The sequence below is a fragment of the Homo sapiens genome, chromosome 7 (assembly GCF_000001405.40).
Source record: "Homo sapiens chromosome 7, GRCh38.p14 Primary Assembly".
In the NCBI taxonomy this organism is placed as follows: domain Eukaryota; kingdom Metazoa; phylum Chordata; class Mammalia; order Primates; family Hominidae; genus Homo; species Homo sapiens.
In genome coordinates, this window is record NC_000007.14 from 18,641,714 (window position 1) to 18,660,586 (window position 18,873).

An 18,873-nucleotide genomic window follows, 5' to 3' on the forward strand; every position below is an offset into this window, starting at 1 on the left:
TTGGCTTTGTCTGAAAACACTTGTGAGCTCACTGCAATGCTAAGGTGGGATGGTCTTCCAGCCTTGCAAGAATGCTAGTCAGGATCTTTCATTGTGTCAGGTGAATGGTACCCCTCCCAATCTGTTAGTCTGACTTTAAAGTGTGTCTGTACTCAATTAGCAGTGTAGACTATGGCTCCAGGTCTTATTAAGAGATAAACGTGGAACAGATAGACTGCTCCGATCAAAAAGCATAGTTGAGGAAAGCTGTATTTAAAGAAAATAATTCAAGGGAAATGGTTTTTCATTTCTCTGAAGTCATCCTAGACCTTGAAAGTCTACATAAATGCTATGCCTGTTTCCTTATCTGTAATCCAAGGAGATAAGCTAAGCAATGTCCCGGTCTGTAAAGTTTCTATGAAGACGACATACCAGTTAAGAGTCTTTGGGAAGAACCAACTATACCTAGTAGATATGGGGGACACAGAACCATCCTTGCTTCATCAAGAATTGTCTCCATGACTTGAAGATCCTGACATTTATAAAGTCACCGGAGCTTTTTTCTTGTGCCAAGTCCCCTGACTCCCAGTTGCACTCCTTTATTCCTGCCATGAGCTTCAGAGCCTGAGTTTGCTTCCTCTTCTCCTCCAAAGCCACCACCATTCTCCCTACTTTTCTGTGGTTCCCCTGTCTTCCAGCAGTGGCTGCAGAGTCATACTCCCTGTAGCAGCAGCTGTCAACAAATCTCATAGCCTTGGTCAGTTTAAAGGTTTTGTTGCTGGTCCCACATGGAAGCAAAATTGGGGAAATGACTCAGTTTCCTCATCGACAGCATGAGCATAATGGTAGCTTGAGAGTGCCTGTGAAGAATAGGTTAGCCTCCAAAAAATTCTGGCCCAGGACACCATGGTAGGTGCTGAATATCAGTACACTGCCAGAGGAAATGGAGCCACTCAAGTTTTATAGGAAACTACAAAGATCTGCAATCCCAGAGTAAGACTGTCCCCAAATCTCTTCACTGTAGTCAAAGCCAGTGTGAGGAGCCAGTGTGTTGCTGCCATTATTACGTCTGAGAAGATAATCTATTTCTCCTTTTAGTTTAAGTCTGGTTCCTGTGATGAGGTGGGAGGATATCACAGAAATTCTCTCTGGGAAACAAAGAAAACTCTTTTGTGAGGTCTATGGTATTTTTTGTGCCATTCTCCCAGTCCGTGTCAAATCCCCTAGTCCATATCTTAGTGCTGTGAGAAGCAGATATAACCTTGAATGAATATTATGCCCTATTTAAAATGCTTATTTTTCCACACTTATTTTCTCTTCAATGAATACAGATAAGTGAATAACATATCCTTTTATTTTAAATTACTATTTACTGCCAATAAGCTAGTTAAAATATTTTTACTTCCTTATATGTTCCTTTTGTTCTTGTACAGGTATTCTATACTTACAATTTTCGTGAAAAGCTTATTATTTGTATGAGTAAAAGAGTAGCTTGCCTTTTTGTGTACAGCAAGTATGCAACTCTGTCTGATAGCTCATAAAATAAAATTGCAACCCCACACATTGTAATTTTAAAATCTTTCCCAACAATCTTCATGCTATGTCACTTAGACAACTAATTTTTTAAAGGGCTGCATATAAAGTCAATGTAATGTTATTGCTTTCAACATACCTCTTGGTTTTCATGCACAAATATCTGACATGTTCCTTTAAGAAGTAACAAAATCTGAACTAGCTTTGAGTTCCAAGTTGCAATGAGAAAACTCCACATTTAACCTTGTGCTCTTATTATGTTAAGACTAAGACTCATCTCCAAACAAACGTATGATTGAGATGATGTTTTGGAATAACATCCTGTGTTTTGGTGGTGCATCACTCTTCAGTGACATTCTGAGGTTGCATTGTATCAGCACATGATATTTTCCCCGGTTAATTGATATCCCAGGTTTGTCCAGGGGAAAATCTACAGCTCCCCCAAACATGCTTGACAAGTTATTATATTTACTTTAGTCAAAGCCCGTGTGTGCAATATCCCTCTTGGAGGTGGTCTATTATTGGAGTCCCATATGCTTTTTGTTTGGGAAGAAAGCAGCCACTGTGTCATACTGTTACATGGAGTATTCTTTTTCAGGGATGTTGTTCCCTTGGGGACCATATCAGGCCAGAGTTCCTTAGTCTAATAAGACCTTTGTAACTCTTATTGTATAAAAGTTCTGGGAGGGAGGCAAGAGTTAAACAGAAAATGTAATTCAAGCAACCATATTAGGCCACATGTGGGAAAACATGACTCTTAGTAATGGATTAAAAAAAAGGTATTTGTTGTAAAAAGCACAGTGATGCCAAAACGTTCAGGGTATTTCAATGTAAATGAAGCCTACTGTGGCATAGGACTCATAACATTTTAACATTTACTTTAGTTTCTGAATATGAATGATCTAAAAATACACCACACAGAATTGTCTATTCATAAATGTTTATAAGTAAAAAAGATGTGATTACTATGGAAGCCCTATATGGTGATATTTAATCTAAGATTTTTCTTGGGTCAGTTTTCCCATCAATAAAATGACATTAAATGAAGAATCAGGTGAAGATAATGACTGTGGTGGCATTATATACATATTTTTTTCACTGAGTAATACAAAAGAAGTAGACATACTAATCAGAATTATCCAATTTTATCATTGTACTTTATCAGCAGATGACAAACATGCTGACCATATTTTGTATAGCCAGAATTTTATAAATGAATTTGCAAAAAATGAACATAGATGCCTTTTATTCAGATTTTATAACTATGTCTTTGGAAGAAATTTTTTATTTAAATTTGACATTATAACTTTTGGATATAGAAGTCATAAAATAAATACTTAAAATCTTTTCTTAATTATGGTAAGACCCATTTTCTGAAATGAGAACATTTTACAGTAAAATTTGTGATACTGTGGTATTTTGAGACTCTCCTCTTTTTTTAACAGCAAATGGTTTCACAGCAACGCATTCTAATTCATGAAGATTCCATGAACCTGCTAAGTCTTTATACCTCTCCTTCTTTGCCCAACATTACCTTGGGGCTTCCCGCAGTGCCATCCCAGCTCAATGTAAGTCATTGCACAGCATCAGCCTTAATCAACCTAAGCAATATCTTTTCACAGGGGAACTCTCTTTCGTGTTTTATGTATTTAGACTTTAGAAAAACTTGACAGAGCCAGCATCTCCTTCACTGTTTGCTATTTGCTGTGTTGTTCAAAGACATTCAGTCTAATTTCAAGTCAGAATTATCCTGGTTCACATAATCATATGTAAACATAATAACTAACATTTGTATAATGGTTTATAGCTTTTAAAAAAAAAGCACTTTCCAGATATATTATTTTAATAGCTCCACACAGCCATCCTGTGAAACAGAGATTACAGCCCACGTTTTTACAGAAGGAGAAGCTGAGACTTGGAGAGTTTCAAAGCACAAGATCACAGAGCCAGTAAGTGGCAGACCTGGAACACAAGCCAGGGCAGTGCTGAGAGCTACAGCTTCGAAAGCACAGCAGCATATGTTTATAGAATTTATTTTGTGAATGAGTTTATTTTGGGAATTTAAGTTACTGACTCTCTGGTACTGGCGAATATGTATCTGGAAAAACTCTCTAAGAAAAATATTAAACTATTCCCAGAAGATTCAAAGTGAATCAATTAGTTTAAAAGTCCTGACAACTGAAATAGGCTCTTTCGGGAAGAAAGCAGTCACTGTATCATACTGTTACATGAAGGCCTAGAAGTGATTCCTTGTTCTGGACTCTTTGCCTTAAAATTTCCTAGTACTCAGCAGAGAAAATGGAATACTAGAGATCTCTTTGCCAAAGCAGAGCTAAACTTGAAATGTTATTGTCATACTAGCAGAAGATGGCAATAATTATTCTAGGCATATTCCCTGAAACAGTGTCAATTTTAGTTGTAAAAAATGTGTGGGCCTTATCCAGAATAATTCATCTCTGAAATGTTAGTTAATTAAATTGTATATATACAGGGGTCATATGATACATTAGGTTTAGAGAGAAATTTATTCCAACTCTCATCACCAGTTTGGCCAATCTTTACCTTCAAGTCTTCCACTGAGTTGAATGTGTCAAGTTCACTTGTATGTTCAACACATAGTTTCAATGCGTATTTTAAAATCAACCTAAGAGATATTATATCTGGTATTGTCAATAGACTATAATGTCATTTTATGTGGTACTGTGTTCTTATACCAATGAGGAAAAAACAAAATTTGGATGTTGTCTTATATCTGGGGATTATAAAAGAAAGCATTGAAAATACAGAATTCAGCTATGCTCTTAAAATTCCACATGAAACATTTGTAAATGAAAAACAAAAAAAGGAATTAGGAATGAAACTAAAAATAAATATTCATGGATAATATTTTACAGTTATCACTAATTAAAAAATATTTTTCCTTCTCTATTTCCTGTCTCTTCTAATGATAAGTAAATACCAACCCAAAAACTTCTTATGACACATGAATAGGCATTTTATTTTTACTTATTTTTGTATGTTCTAAGCCACTCCTCTCAATAACTCACACATGGACCACTTTTAATGTGGTCAGGGAAAATTTTTTCCCAAAGGACCAAGTACTAAAGCCAGACCAGTTAATGTTTCAGAGGTAATACGATTTGGTACCATTGGATGAATAAACCAATGTGGTTTGGATTAAAGTTTCATTTTTCTTTGCTTCCATTTTGGTGTGGATGAGGCCATCACAATTAATTTTTCAAGTTTAGCATTGCTTTGCCAACGGGATTTGTAGTACTCCATTTCTACATTGAATACTGGGAAATTTTAAGGAAAAGAGGCCAGGACAAGGAATCACTTCTAGATTAAACATTGCATTGACTTACTGTGTGACTCAGACAAACCACTTACCTCTTTGTCCTTCAGTTTCTCCATTGCTGAAAATTGCTTCGCCTCCCTGGTGCACAGCAATTTTGAAAGATGAAACATGAGTTTTGAAAAGAAACATGCCACATAATTTTGAGGTATTAGAGTCCTGCTTTTGTAATAGCAAAATGACCACCATTCATTAAATCCTTTGAATAGGATAATTCATTATTGCTATTGATGATATAATTATTATTGCCTTATTACTGTGTTATCATACATTTCAAGTTCTTAATAGCATTTTTTGTAGTTTATTATACAAAATATCTAGAGTGTCATTTTCAATATTTAGAGATTTGGGTATCTGTTATGAATTAATATAAAATGTTTAAATCAAATTTCTGCATATTTTTACCTCCTTTCATTGGGTTATTTTAAGAATTTAATTTAAAAAATTAAACATTGGACACTTACAGCTCTGTGAAATTATTAGAAGCCATGTAGAGAAAGGGTAAATTGTTCCTTTTGCTTGCAACTCCAAAATTACAGTCCATCTTATCTCCAGCTTCTTAATCCCCATGATATAGTCTTTGAATAAATTTTACCTCTCCAGTATGCCTTTAACTTAAACAGTGTATAAAATATTTTAGAAATGTACTTTCCACTTATTAAGCCTGAAATAAGCATTTTTTGTTTTTTTATTGACATATAAAAGGTACATATATTTGTGGTTTACAACATAATGATTTGACATATGTATACATCGTAGAGTGACTTAAGCTAATTAACATATGCATTGTCTCACATACTTATTTTTTATGGTGAGAACACTGAAAATCTATTCTCTGAGAAATTTTCACATGTACAATATATTGTTATTAACTGTAGTCATCATCATGTACAACAGATCTCTTGAATTTATTCTTTCCACCTAAAATTGTGTATGTAGCATCACTTCTGATTTTAATTATAAAACCTTTTTATGTTCAATACAATGACAATATTAAATTGTCTTCAGTGCTCCAACCCTATTTTTATTCCTTCTTTTTTGAACTGAGTTAGTTTAAAAAGTCCATTTTCCCTGCTCAGCCATTGGGTAAGATGGGGCTTTTGTTTTGGGAAGCTACAGCATAGGAAACTTGTCTAATGATTTAGAGACCCAGTGACCCACATGGATGAAAGAGGATTAACATCTTTGTTATTTCTCAACACAGGCTTCGAATTCACTCAAAGAAAAGCAGAAGTGTGAGACGCAGACGCTTAGGCAAGGTGTTCCTCTGCCTGGGCAGTATGGAGGCAGCATCCCGGCATCTTCCAGCCACCCTCATGTTACTTTAGAGGGAAAGCCACCCAACAGCAGCCACCAGGCTCTCCTGCAGCATTTATTATTGAAAGAACAAATGCGACAGCAAAAGCTTCTTGTAGCTGGTAATTCATTATGGCACCATTTGCAGGTCATTTTAGGGTTTTATTTTATTAGTGATCCAGGATAATGTCTCTTTTACTCAAGACCCTGATGGAGATCCACAGTGCTATACAAAAGTTTCCCTGATACCTGGTACTGTGGGAAAGGCTATCATCTTTATTTATTCCTTCAGATCCACTTGGGGTAGGAGGACTCACCTCATTTAACCTTTATTCATACCAGACTAGGCTGTGGTGAGTCGTATGGTCAGATGCGTACCTGTCCAATGCCTTGACATTTCTCTCTTCCCACACCTGACCTATTCTTCTGTTGTTTGCCTGGTAGCATCACTAATTCACTAATTTTCTTACAGTTTATACCATGTATCTGTTTTCTTTGGCTTCTTATCTTTTCTTAAAATTGTGTGTGTGTGTATGTGTGTGTGTGTGTGTGTGTGTATACACACATATACATGTATTTTTTTTTTCAGGTGGAGTTCCCTTACATCCTCAGTCTCCCTTGGCAACAAAAGAGAGAATTTCACCTGGCATTAGAGGTACCCACAAATTGCCCCGTCACAGACCCCTGAACCGAACCCAGTCTGCACCTTTGCCTCAGAGCACGTTGGCTCAGCTGGTCATTCAACAGCAACACCAGCAATTCTTGGAGAAGCAGAAGCAATACCAGCAGCAGATCCACATGAACAAAGTAAGCCTCCAAGCCAAGTCAAAATGTTCTAACCGCCAGTTTGGAAATTGGGTATCTCTTCACTGATATGGGTGTCTAAGAGGAATGTTGATGGGAGTCACAGCAAAAAGGATGTGATCATCCTAAGCCTGCTTTCTTGGCTCAAGGACACCATCACAATATCAGTGTTTTAACCACCATTATGTTCATAAGACATTTGTAGCAAAATTGAGATGATACATTCACAAGATCTTTTTATGATCAGGTATATATTTTGGTACACAAGCCCATACGGGCATATGTATATGGAGCCTCATTTTTTAGTGTTGCAGAAAAAGTTTGAGGCAGACTTGAATGTGGTGTGTTGACATGTCAAAAAGTTTGTACAGGTGATGACAGATAGGCCAAGATTAGCCAGTAAGGCACTTCTCAGCAACTTGTATGCATCTACGTTACATTTATTTTGCGAATGCCCCACTTCATTCCAATAAGCGTTTGGAGTAGTTTCTCGGAAACTTGTGATCATTTCTTCCTGGAAGTCTTAATGTTGCTAAAATAGACAGCGGATGTCTGTACCGTACCACATCCTTAGGAGCTCTCCTGCTGAGGCAACTACAAAGAAACAGTGATTGCAGCATAATATCAGACAGGCCAGTAAAGGATTTTCTATGAATTCGTAAGCAAAATGATATTAAAGAACCTGGTCTGGACAGTTTTTCCACTACTTTTTGCTGTGGTAGGCTTAAAAAAGCACCATCTTCTCATTCCTGGAAAATTCCTGGAAAATATTAAGGTCCTGAGTATTAAAATTCTATTCCCTTGCCTTTGTGCTGTATCATCTACAAGTTATGTTACAGAGGCATGAGAGGCATGATATTGCAAACTGATACTTTGTTTACTGATAAATGGATAGCTAAAACCTGGCTTAGTAATAACTTTGTTGTACTATGATGTAAGAAACAAACAAAACAAAACAAAATAAACTCTCATGGGCAGAGGCTTAATCATCTTTCTAACGGCAGTAGGGGAAAGGGATCTTCATCACTTGCTGGTTTTATGGCAAGTGTTGCTGGAGTTTTTCTCTTCTTTTGGCCTCCATCGTAACAAGGGCAGAGCCATGAAGGAAGCATGGATTGGATACCATGCTTCCGAACAGAAAGTTTTCCAGCCTAGCCCTTCGCTACTCTCAAAGTAGCAAAAGTATGTGTGGGATTGGGGTGCTAGAGATGGGGTGGCTGGCAGGGACAACTCTCTCTCTAACCTTTTAGTATGCATTGCAGACCCTTTCTGTGTCATTAGATAATGCCTATTTTATTGCTGTAGCACTTCTCTAAATTTAGCAAATATTTCGGTTTCATATCAAATTATTTTATATCAAATCAGTATCTTCAGGAGAGAGCCAATTTCCTTCTCTGACTAATGGCATAATACTCACTGACTTGTATGTGACTCTGCATATGTTTTCTATATTATGGTAGAGTTAGGTTTGTTTATTTGTTTTGTGGCCTTTCAGCACAACTTAAAATTATTAGGTATTCTTGAAAAATTGTCCACTGTTTAGTGCAAGAAATGTATGTGGGAGGGAAGATTAGGGATCGTATTTTTTTGCCATATAGTGTTTTGATCTAGAATTAGGTTTGTTTATAAAACCAGTATTAGATAGTAGATAGACTTTTCTGCTATGCTTGGTTCTATTTCCTAGAAACACATGGATGTATATATTTTACTATGGTAAAGTAGGTAAATTACTCACTTTGAAATTGTGATCCACAAATGGTTTCTATGAATACCTTTAAGAATATTTTGGAATACAGTTTTTTATTAACTAATTGCCACTGTTTCAGATTCAGATGGTGTGCTAATATCAGAATCTTTCCTTTTCAGTATCAAACTCGAGATTTTGACAGGCGAATGCTAACCTCAGTCACACTGGATAAAACTCAGATGAAAAGCAGGCATTTGCATTTTAGCAATGAGAAAAGCAAATCTTATCAGAGACCTTTTCCCATGTGGAGCTGATTCCTTTGAATCTGTTAAGAATTCTTCCCAGAATTAGAAACAAACCTATACTTTTAGGTACATGTTTGTACAGTGGTTTGATTATTAAATCTTGTCTTAATTAGGCAAAATGAAGACCAGAAAACTTCAAAGTCCAAAGCTGATCTTTATATGTTAACCTCTCTCAGCTTGGGTGTTTAGATGACTCAAGCAGGTCGCCAGTTGGCTTTTCTCCAAGGATGTATTCCATATGTTTCATCAAGTTGGCATATTCACGTTGGGTATTCTCCAGATTTTGAAAATATTTTACCTGCCCTCAGTTGTCTAAGGGGACAGAGAGGAAGCTTATTAAAGAAAATATCAAACCCATGTCCTATCCTGAAATATTCACAATAGAACGCTTAAGAAGTGAGTGGCTACTGTTCACCTGCTTCCGTGACGTGACAAGGATGTTTATTTCACATTGGGTCAGATTCATAACTTAGATGCCCAAAGCTAACATGTTTCTGTATAATATATTGCTGTATACTTGATTTAACCATTTAGAATGCCCATTAGTAAGAAATCACCACAGAAATTTTATCATTTTTCCCCATTTCCATGGATGAACCTTTATGAAACCCATTCATACTGAAGCGATGGTCCTTACTCTTGAGATACTTATAGCAGGAAATACAGGCACACATGAAGATGTTGACATACAAATGACATATTTAAATATATCTTCTTTTATTTCCTTTTTATGATTCTTTTTTGAGGAATTTAGAGAAACAAAAAATGAAGTGGGAACAAGAAAATATAAGTAGGATTATTTCTAAACCTGTATCAGATTAAATATGATGGGCTTCCTGGTATAAAATTTGTAGTAATGTGTTTGAATTACTAATAATCTTTAGAAGAATTAGAAACAAAGCTATATAGTTTTAGGGGCATGGGTGATGCAAGGATTGACTTATTAAATTTGAAAGAGTTTTTCATATCTTGCTATTATTTTAATGTGTTTATAAAATATTCATGTTCAGTGTAACTACATAATGTAACTGTTATTAATCATACAAAATAATTTACCTACTTGTTGCCTTATACTTTAATATCATATTTGGGATATTTGTGGGATAGTTGTGTGTTCTAAGATTATTTGCCTCTTACAGTTACGGTGTAAGTGTTCAAGGGCTTAGCAGAAATATCCCTGGAATGGGCTTGTATAGTATTTATACTGTTATATCTGCCAGTAAATAATGGGGAAAGTCAGAAAGGAGAGTGCTGGGCTGGAGAGGAAACCCTGTGAGAATGATTTATCTCTGCTCATGAGTTTGAATATTCTATTTTTCACTGAAACTGTTTTGAGAAGTTTAATCATAAAGAAATCAAGGCTTACAACATTTGATCTTTTGTTTTCTGAGACATTTTACAAATCAGAAATGCATTAAACAGGTTCTATTGCTAATATATGGTATTAATATTTTTGTGCAATGATGTCATTGCACATTCATTTATATCATTTTTCCCCAATACCATGGAAGAACCTTTTCAAAAAATCAAGAGTTTCTTTATACCAGCATCAAGGGAAGACTGATGCTTTTGCCAGTACACCTTGCTTTTCTGATTGGAGGAAAAAAGAGTTTCTAAAGTAGAACTTCCCTCAAATACAAAATATCAAACAAAAAGTAATAAGGTATTGGTAATTTTCTCCTGGGCCCATTTCAAGTTTAAATATTACCACAGGATTTTTTTTCTGGTGAAATAAAACTGTAATTGATTAAAACAGAATACGTAACAGTTGTTTAGACATACTGATGATTTTAAAGAAGTATTCTAAGCACTGCCTAAAAAATAAAAGGGCAAATCTCTAGTCACTTCACTATTTGAATGATATATAGAAAATTTTCAAAATCTCTTTAGGCATTTTTGTTGTGAGGTAATTTGACATAGATCTCTGCCATGCCCCATCCCCTTGACAACATTATTCTTTATTTCTCTGTTATAGTATTAATAGAATTGCACTGATTCATGCCTAGCAGTTTCTATTTTAACTAGAATATTAATATCTTTATTAATATCTGTTTTTCATATTCATTCCATTAAATCCATAAGAGCAGGAATTTTAAGAAAATTCATACTTTGTTTAGTAGTTACTTTAATGAATTATTAATCTATGTATGGATGCGTTAAACAAATCATTAAATACTGTGTGCAGACACAGTTTTAAGCACTAAGAAAACAACCTTCAGTGTCCTCATGGAGCTTATAGGATGGGGAGCAGGAAGTGAATTATTGAAATAAACAGTAATACAGGCCGGGTGCAATGGCTCATGCCTGTAATCCCAGCACTCTGGGAGGCCGATGTGGGTGGATAAGCTGAGGTGGGGAGTTCGAGACCAGCCTGACCAACATGGAGAAACCCCGTCTCTACTAAAAATACAGAAAATTAGCCGGGCGTGGTGGTGCATGCCTGTAATCCCAGTTACTCAGGAGGCTGAGGCAGGAGAATCGCTTGAACCCAGGAGGCAGAGGTTGCAGTGAGCTGAGATCCTGCCATGGTGCTCCAAACCTGGGCCACAAGGGTGAAACTCCATCTCAAAAAAAAAAAAAAAAAACCAGTAATACAGTGTGTTAAGTATTAGGAAAGGAGACATAAGAAAGAAAACTGATATCTTTAAGGAAATAAAATTTGAGTTAATTACTTCTCTGGATTATCTTGTTCTTATTATATCTCACTCCCTTTCTTTTTCTTTCTTGCTTGCTCGCTTGTTCTCTTGCTTTCTTCCTTTCTTATATGCTCTGTGATAAATATCTTGTGCATTCCTATGACTGGCTATCAGCCAACACTTTTTTAAAAACTTACATAAATCATGAGATGATATCTTATATATGCCAAGGTTCGGTCTAGATATAAGTATTTATTATATATTTATTACTGTGATACTTAGGCATTTTGACATGAGTGCTATTTTATCATAATAAAAATATATCTAAGACAAGACCAGTAAATGTGAGGTCAAGCAGATGTACTGTGTTGCCCTTATTAAAACAGGTAGATGTTATGTTTATGTTCTGACAAGCAAGGCATGAATATAATTATGCTCAAATGCTGGATCTGAGCAAATGGAGAGCTTTCATTAGCTTTTGGAAGAGAATTTGACTGTTTATTTGAGTAGTATCTGTATTATTCCTTTTTTGACATAATTTTCTAACATGAATGTTATATATTCTCTGAAATCCTCTTGATTTATACCCATTCCCTGTCCCCAACCCTCCATCCACAGTAACCTAAGAGAGTATATTCCTTCATGCTTGTGGTCACATACAAACATAGCATGCATGCCTGTGTGTGTGTTAATGTGTTGCCTTGTGAAGTGTCCCTGAAGGCAGTTATAATGTAGAACTATTTTGTGCACTATTGAAAAAAGTATAAGTTTTGAGAAGGAGATTAATTAGAAGAACAATTCTTTACATGTGTCTGTATTCCAAAAGTTTACATTTTTTTAAAGTTATACTTCATATTCTCAAACAGATACTTTATATTAGCTGTATTCTAATGTAATTCTATCCATGGCTTACTTGTAAGCAAATTAAATGTTAAGTATAATTACACAAGGGCCATTTACCCACTTTTGACTTTTTGCTGCACCTACTTCTTCTAGTGTACCTCTTCCTCCCCTTGTTTTAGGCACTGTGCATCTTTTCAGCACCTTCTCCATAGATACCTTAGGGTAGGGTCATTTAAAAACTATCAGCTCACTTTTATATGGAGGATCTACTATAAGCTGGACTCCATACCAGAATTCTTACGTCTATCTTCCCTTCAACCTTAACAACTCACTCTTTTTTAGTTCAAGAAAATTAATTTTACAGGGCTGAAGTAGATTGAGCAAGGTGGCAGGGCTAGTGCAGAGCTGAAATCCTAACATAGGTTGTATGACACAAAAGCCTGTCCTTAATCATTTGTGCTTATGATTACAGTCTTATTTTATGACCAAGCAGGAAACCGGCTTTTCCTAATTTTATTTTTGTCTAAAAGTAGAAAATTCACAGTTAAAAACAAGGCAAACAAACATTAAAAAAAATAGGGTGATCTTATTTTTCTTTTGCACCGGTTTAGATTTGCCACGATGAAGAAATCCCCTTTCCCAGCTCTGCCTCCCAACTTCACACACATTGACCTCCTTCAAGTTACTCACTTGGCAGTCTTTGCACGTGGACCTGACGGTGAGACATTCAGATATCCTGTTGGATTATAAGGCTTTCCAAACGGTGCAGAGTGAATGCAGTACAGAGCCAACTACAGCCAGGCCACATTTCATTCCTTTCTCGCATGTTGTCACATTGCCGTTGTTTTAGATTGGACAAACATCTTCTCACGGAAGTTCTGGGCAAGCCTGAAGCTGGAAGTTACCGACTTCATCAGGTTCAACTGAAATGCAAATGTTGGCATCTCATCTATGGGTGGTTGGAAAATGCCTTGTTTTATGTTTTGAAAAATGGATGAGTAGAAACTGGAACTGGGCTTTCATTTAGGAAAGTAGGCATTAGTGTTGTCAGGTTTAATTTCTCTCCATCCATTTGACAGCTTGTTTCCATGCAGGGTCTTTTAATCACCAATTTAGGATTACATTTTGCCCATTACATGGATAGTATGTCCAAAAACTTTAGCAAGCATTGAAAGGCAGTCTTAATTTTATAACAGTAAAAAGCCTCCTAGATTATTTATCTATCTATAGAGGTTTATAAAAGAAACTTTGACGTTACCCTTAAATCGATGTTATTCTGAGATAATTGGCCCAATATAAATAGATTCTTTTAAATACGTAGTACTAGGTCTCCAAAAAAATCCACTTATAGAATACCAGCTTATATCATCACAAGGAATTCATATAGATGTATTTCACTATATAATTACAAGTTGATGGTTTCTAACATACAGAAAGTGGCTTGTTGCTTTATTATTAGATGTGATGAAATCCTGTGTTTGGAAAAGAAACAAAATGACCATTTCAGTGGATTAATGTGCAGCATTCATAAACATTCCCAGTGCTGCTTTCATAACTTGGAGACCAAGGGAAGGGACCTAGACCTTTCCTTTTCACTCTGCACTGTTAATCTAGTCAGAGACGCTTTTATTGAATGAGAAAAACAATAGTTGGACATGACTATGAGGTAAGAAAACGGGGGGAAGAAAAATATCTGGGGAATTAAACCACGTGAATTGTTTGATTGATGTTGATTCCAGGCAGTTCAAAGGGAAAGGGAAGCTAAATAATTTGGTTGTTTCCCAACCTTGACAAGTAGTTTCATGTGACAGAATGAAAAAATTAGGTCTTGCTAAGGAATTTTTAATATAGTTAAGTGATTTGTAGACATGAAAACTGCCAGTGGGTAGCAGTCTCTTTTTTTTTTTTTTGCATATTTTGGTAGCTTGCAAGTTCCTGGTTTTAGTTCTTTTTTCCTGTATCTTTCAGCTCTTCCTCTAACTACTTATGAAATCTGAGGAACTACAGTGACCCTGAAATGTCATCTGGTCTAGAGTATTCCTCTTCCTGCAGGCAGAATTGCATCCAGAGCTATTCTCTCATATCTTAAATGTACTGCTGCTCTCTTGCTATTAACCTAGTTGTATCAGCTAGCAATATAAAGTCCTGCAACAGTCTCCGGTCATGGAATAATTGATGATGTTCCACAAAGACTTATCTATTAACAACCATTACACTTCATTCTGGAAATGAAAATAAAGAAGGCATGTTCTTTCCCTTGAGTGGCTCAAAGACCTGTAAACAGATCATTATAATCAAATATGATTCTATCAAATGCATAGCTCACATGAATTGCAAAATCTATCATCTTGATAGATTTTTCAAGAGAAGTTTCTGAGGTCTTGCACAATTATTTGTTTTGCAATATTGGTCAAGATATTCAACCTTTTTGTTTAATAATTCCATAAACAGCAAATTTTTGAGGTTTACAGTGAGGATTACATGAGAGAACATATCTGAAAATGCTTTGTAAACATGATAAGCACCACTAAAATCTTATACAGTATTTATATTCTTCCAAATCTTAGCTATTGTGGACAGTGCTGTGACAAACATAGGAGTGCAGATATCTCTTTGATATACTGATTTCCTTTCTTTTAGGTATATGCCTAGCAGTAGGATTGCTGGATCATATGGTAGCTCTATTTTTAGTTTCTTGAGGAACCTCCAGACTGTTCTCCATAGTGGCTGTACTAATTTACATTCCCACCAACAGCGTACGACGGTTCCCCTTTCTCCACGTGCTCACCTGCATTCATTACGGGTCCATCTTTTGGATAAAAGCATTTTAACTGGGGTGAGATGATGTCTCATTGTAATTTTGATTTTCATTTCTCTGATGGTTAATGATGTTCAACATTTTTTCATATGGTGTTGGCCATTTGTATGTCTTTTGAGAAGTGTCCATTCATCTTTTGTCCGTTTTAAAATCAGATTATTAGATTTTTTTCCTGTTGTTTGAGTTCCATATATATCCTGGTTATTAATCTCTTGTCAGAGGGGTAATTTGCAAATATTTTCTCCCATCCTGTGGGTTTTAGCTTCATTTTGCTGATTGTTTCCTTTGTTGGTCACTGTGTTTAATTGGGTTTGCCCTGCTTTCCAGTTTACCAAAGTAAGGAATTGATCAATGGGGGAAATGGCGATGTTTATGAGTTGGGAGAGAGTGATTCATTGGTTTGAGATTTTGTCTATTCTGAGACCCATTCCCAAATCATCAATGATTAGCAAAGAAAATAAGGATGCCTTTCCACACTGTGCCTCTATTTTCTACTCTTAAAGAGAAAAGGAGGAAAACTTGGGCAGAAAGTATACTGTCACCTGAAGGATCCTAAAGATTATCAGGGAAAGAATCCTATTAGGTAATTTTTAAAAGGACATAAAATTATGCAGTGCTATAAAAGAAGGGAAAACTGCTTATTTTTGTCCTAGTTAAGAACACTGCCCCAACCCCTGCCAAGAAATCTTGGTTAAGAATTCCACACTCTTGCTGAGGATTGTATGTTTTGAAAATTCAGTCTTCCTCTTTCTACTTTTGCTCCCTAAATCCAGTCTTCCATAGCAGCCAGAATGATCATTTCAAATGCAAACCAAATCATGTTATGGTTAAAACACCCTACTTGCTCCCTCTTGTTTGTAGGATAAAATCCAAACACTTTTACATGGCCTACAAGGCTGTCATGATCTGATTCTTGCCTCCTCCCTTGCCTTCATCATCTCCTCCCTTCCCTCTCTCTCTAGGCTCCAGCCACACTGGCCCCCTCTCTTATCTTTGAGGAATCTCCTTCCACCTCCAGGAGCTGCGCCAGCCACTATTTTGTGTGGAAGGCTCAACCTCCACGTCTTCTCACGGTTTGATTGTGTTTTGGGGTCTGTCTCAGCTCAAACCTTACCTGTTGAGAGGGGTCTTTATTGCCCATCCAAACAAGAGTAAACACAAACACCCACCTGCTCACCCCTTCTTTCAGCTCCCTATCACTTCGAGTTTCATTTTTCAGTTGCTAATTTTCTGCCTCCCCTACTGTGTGCTGGGATCTTGCTTGATTGACCTTTCTTTTCCTAAGGCCTGGCATATAGTAAACGCTCAATAAAAAATTATTGGAAGAATGAAAAAATGGGTGGGCAATGTTCTCAAACTAGTTGGAACAAACCTTCAGTTTCCTTCCCAGAAGGGAACACTTATTGAAGTTACTGAAATATTAGCAAGTTTTGAGAACCAGAGGAAAAAAAATTTAATTGCAGGCATTGTTTTGGACAATCATTTAGAGTTAAAAAGATGAAGCAGCATTTATTAAAAATTCACTTCATGCTGAGATTAATTTTGAACCTCTTTAATATTGCTTAGAAATGGTATTTTTCAGTTTAGACTTCAATTTGTGTGAATAATGAACCAATATTTAGAAAATCTTTCTTCTCTTGTTATTTAATTTTGGTTCATCTGATTACTTCCCTAAAATACACAGAAGCAAAATGACATGGAGTATTATTTTGGCTTGAGGTTGGAGTTCTACTCCAAGTAGACCTCTCAATTTGAAAGCCCTCCAAGCTCTGCATGTTGTTTTTTGAGAACAGTTGGTCCATACCTAATCTATTTGTGAATTCAAACAGAATTTTATCATTATTTTTAAATCTAGTTTCCTTGGAGCTTAAGGGAAATGTTTTATTTTCCAAAGGAAGAATATTACATTTATTTAAAAGAAAAAAAAAGCAAAAAAAAAAAAAACAAAACAACAACAACAACTTCTGCTATTGCCATTCCCCAAGTACAATCTGTCTTAAAATCTGAGGCAAAATAAGAAAGTGATGAGTTGCATTGAAGTTCACTTTGCATAGTTTAATAATCATATTCAAACACTTGTATTTAATGGTATGTTGACAATGTCAGAAAATCAGATGTTTATGAGGAACAGATTTATTCTTACATGATCCTGTTCTTAGTTGATATTTTGTATCTGAAGATATTTGTTGGGATGCAAAGGATTTCTGTGGGAAACATTAAAATTATAGAATTTAAGCATATTTTATTTAAAAGTACATATGCTTATAGAGACTTATAGACTTGTATCAAGTTATATAATTTACACAGAGGTGAACTTAAAGTGCTAACATATAAACATTAGTGACAGTCTTTAATTATTATTTAGTGAATTTTTCATCATGTGCCAATAGAATATATGATGTTAAACATGGAATGTGAGATTCTGAAATTAAGGAGTTTGCTATAATTATGACCTGAGCAGGGATTGATAAGAATTGAAGTTTAGTTGTAATCCTTGAAGACTTTTGAAATTTGGATAAATTACGATGGTATCTGGCACACAGAACAACATCTGTTTGAGTATATGTAAGTGTGTGTGTGTTACAAACTCAGAATGGTCATAGGCTGCCCGTGGCATGCTTAGTGTTCGGCCCAATTGCTATACAGTAGCACAGAGAATAGAGAGACAGCCTGACAGATGAGTATGAGCACACACAAAAGGCAAAGGAGAAGCTGTGCAGCTGCCCTCTTCTTCATCTCTGCTGGGTTCCCCACTGAAGTAACTCACCTGGTGTCAGACGAGTGGCACACGGTGTGTTTTACAGATGAGGCCTCAGCAGAGATTCACACAGGCTTGCACATTTATCTGTCCCACAGATGTTTCGTCTTCTGTTATCTAGCCAACAAGGCAACAGCTCGACTTTGCTAGGGGATCACCTCCAGATGTTCAACCAAAGAGAGACCCTGCCACCCCACTGAGAGTAAGCAGACATCTCCTCACTACATCTGGGGCCACTCAGTGACAGTACAAATTAGAAAAGGGTTAGCCCATACCAGCTTTGCAGTGGTCATATTTGTAGTTGAGAAACACATAGAAAACAAATTCCAAATACTCATTTTCCTAGTAAATAGTCGGAAATTTACAAATAGCACAAAGTAACTTTTATAGGAAATAATTCAAATCTGGCAGGCAAGAATTTCTCTGTGACTTTTGTTTGTAAGTTTTCCTTGCTGAAGTTAATTGAAAATTTTTCCACTGTGACAAATTTGACTGTTTAAACAAAAACAGCCTTAGTCAGATACCTAAAATAAGAAGTGTAGATTAACTCCCTTTCTGCATTTATATTTTGCAACACTGGCACCGGATGTCCCATTTGTCTTTTTTGTATTTTGTGAATCTTTACAAAGAGCATATTTTATTCCAGAGAAGATGAAAAACGGGTAGTTATTGCTCTTTTAGACATTGACTTTGTTTTGTAACGTAGGAGAAAAAGTGTCAAAGCATTGTTACTAAGCATTAATAATTTTTTCAGAAACTTATGAAGCTCCAATTAGGTGTTATGCAATGTATCAGGTACTAGGATATAAAATGATGAAAAACATATAGCTTATGCCCTATGAGATTTATATTATAGTCT

The 18,873-nt window shown here is 36.0% G+C and overlaps 1 protein-coding gene and 1 long non-coding RNA gene across 40 annotated transcripts in view; one reads left to right on the forward strand and one right to left on the reverse strand.

Moving 5' to 3' along the window:
- Nucleotides 1-18,873, forward strand: part of HDAC9 (histone deacetylase 9) — a 915,592-nt gene that overhangs the window by 554,889 nt on the left and 341,830 nt on the right. For 37 of the 39 annotated variants that reach the window (NM_001321868.2, NM_001204144.3, NM_001321869.2 and 34 more), the window contains 3 exons: nucleotides 2,958-3,080; nucleotides 6,072-6,285; nucleotides 6,753-6,970. In NM_001321868.2, coding sequence (NP_001308797.1) covers nucleotides 2,958-3,080; nucleotides 6,072-6,285; nucleotides 6,753-6,970 — 555 coding nt within the window. Of the gene's footprint in view, nucleotides 1-2,957; nucleotides 3,081-6,071; nucleotides 6,286-6,752; nucleotides 6,971-13,049; nucleotides 13,157-15,193; nucleotides 15,275-16,218; nucleotides 16,330-18,873 lie in introns of all 39 variants that reach the window. The other 2 variants (NM_001321878.2, NM_001321876.2) reach the window with 2 other exon arrangements.
- Nucleotides 11,417-18,107, reverse strand: LOC124901598 (uncharacterized). The gene is made up of 3 exons (XR_007060242.1): nucleotides 18,024-18,107; nucleotides 13,129-13,361; nucleotides 11,417-11,523 (listed from the first exon to the last, which is right to left on the reverse strand). It is a non-coding gene; the product is annotated as an uncharacterized LOC124901598 (long non-coding RNA).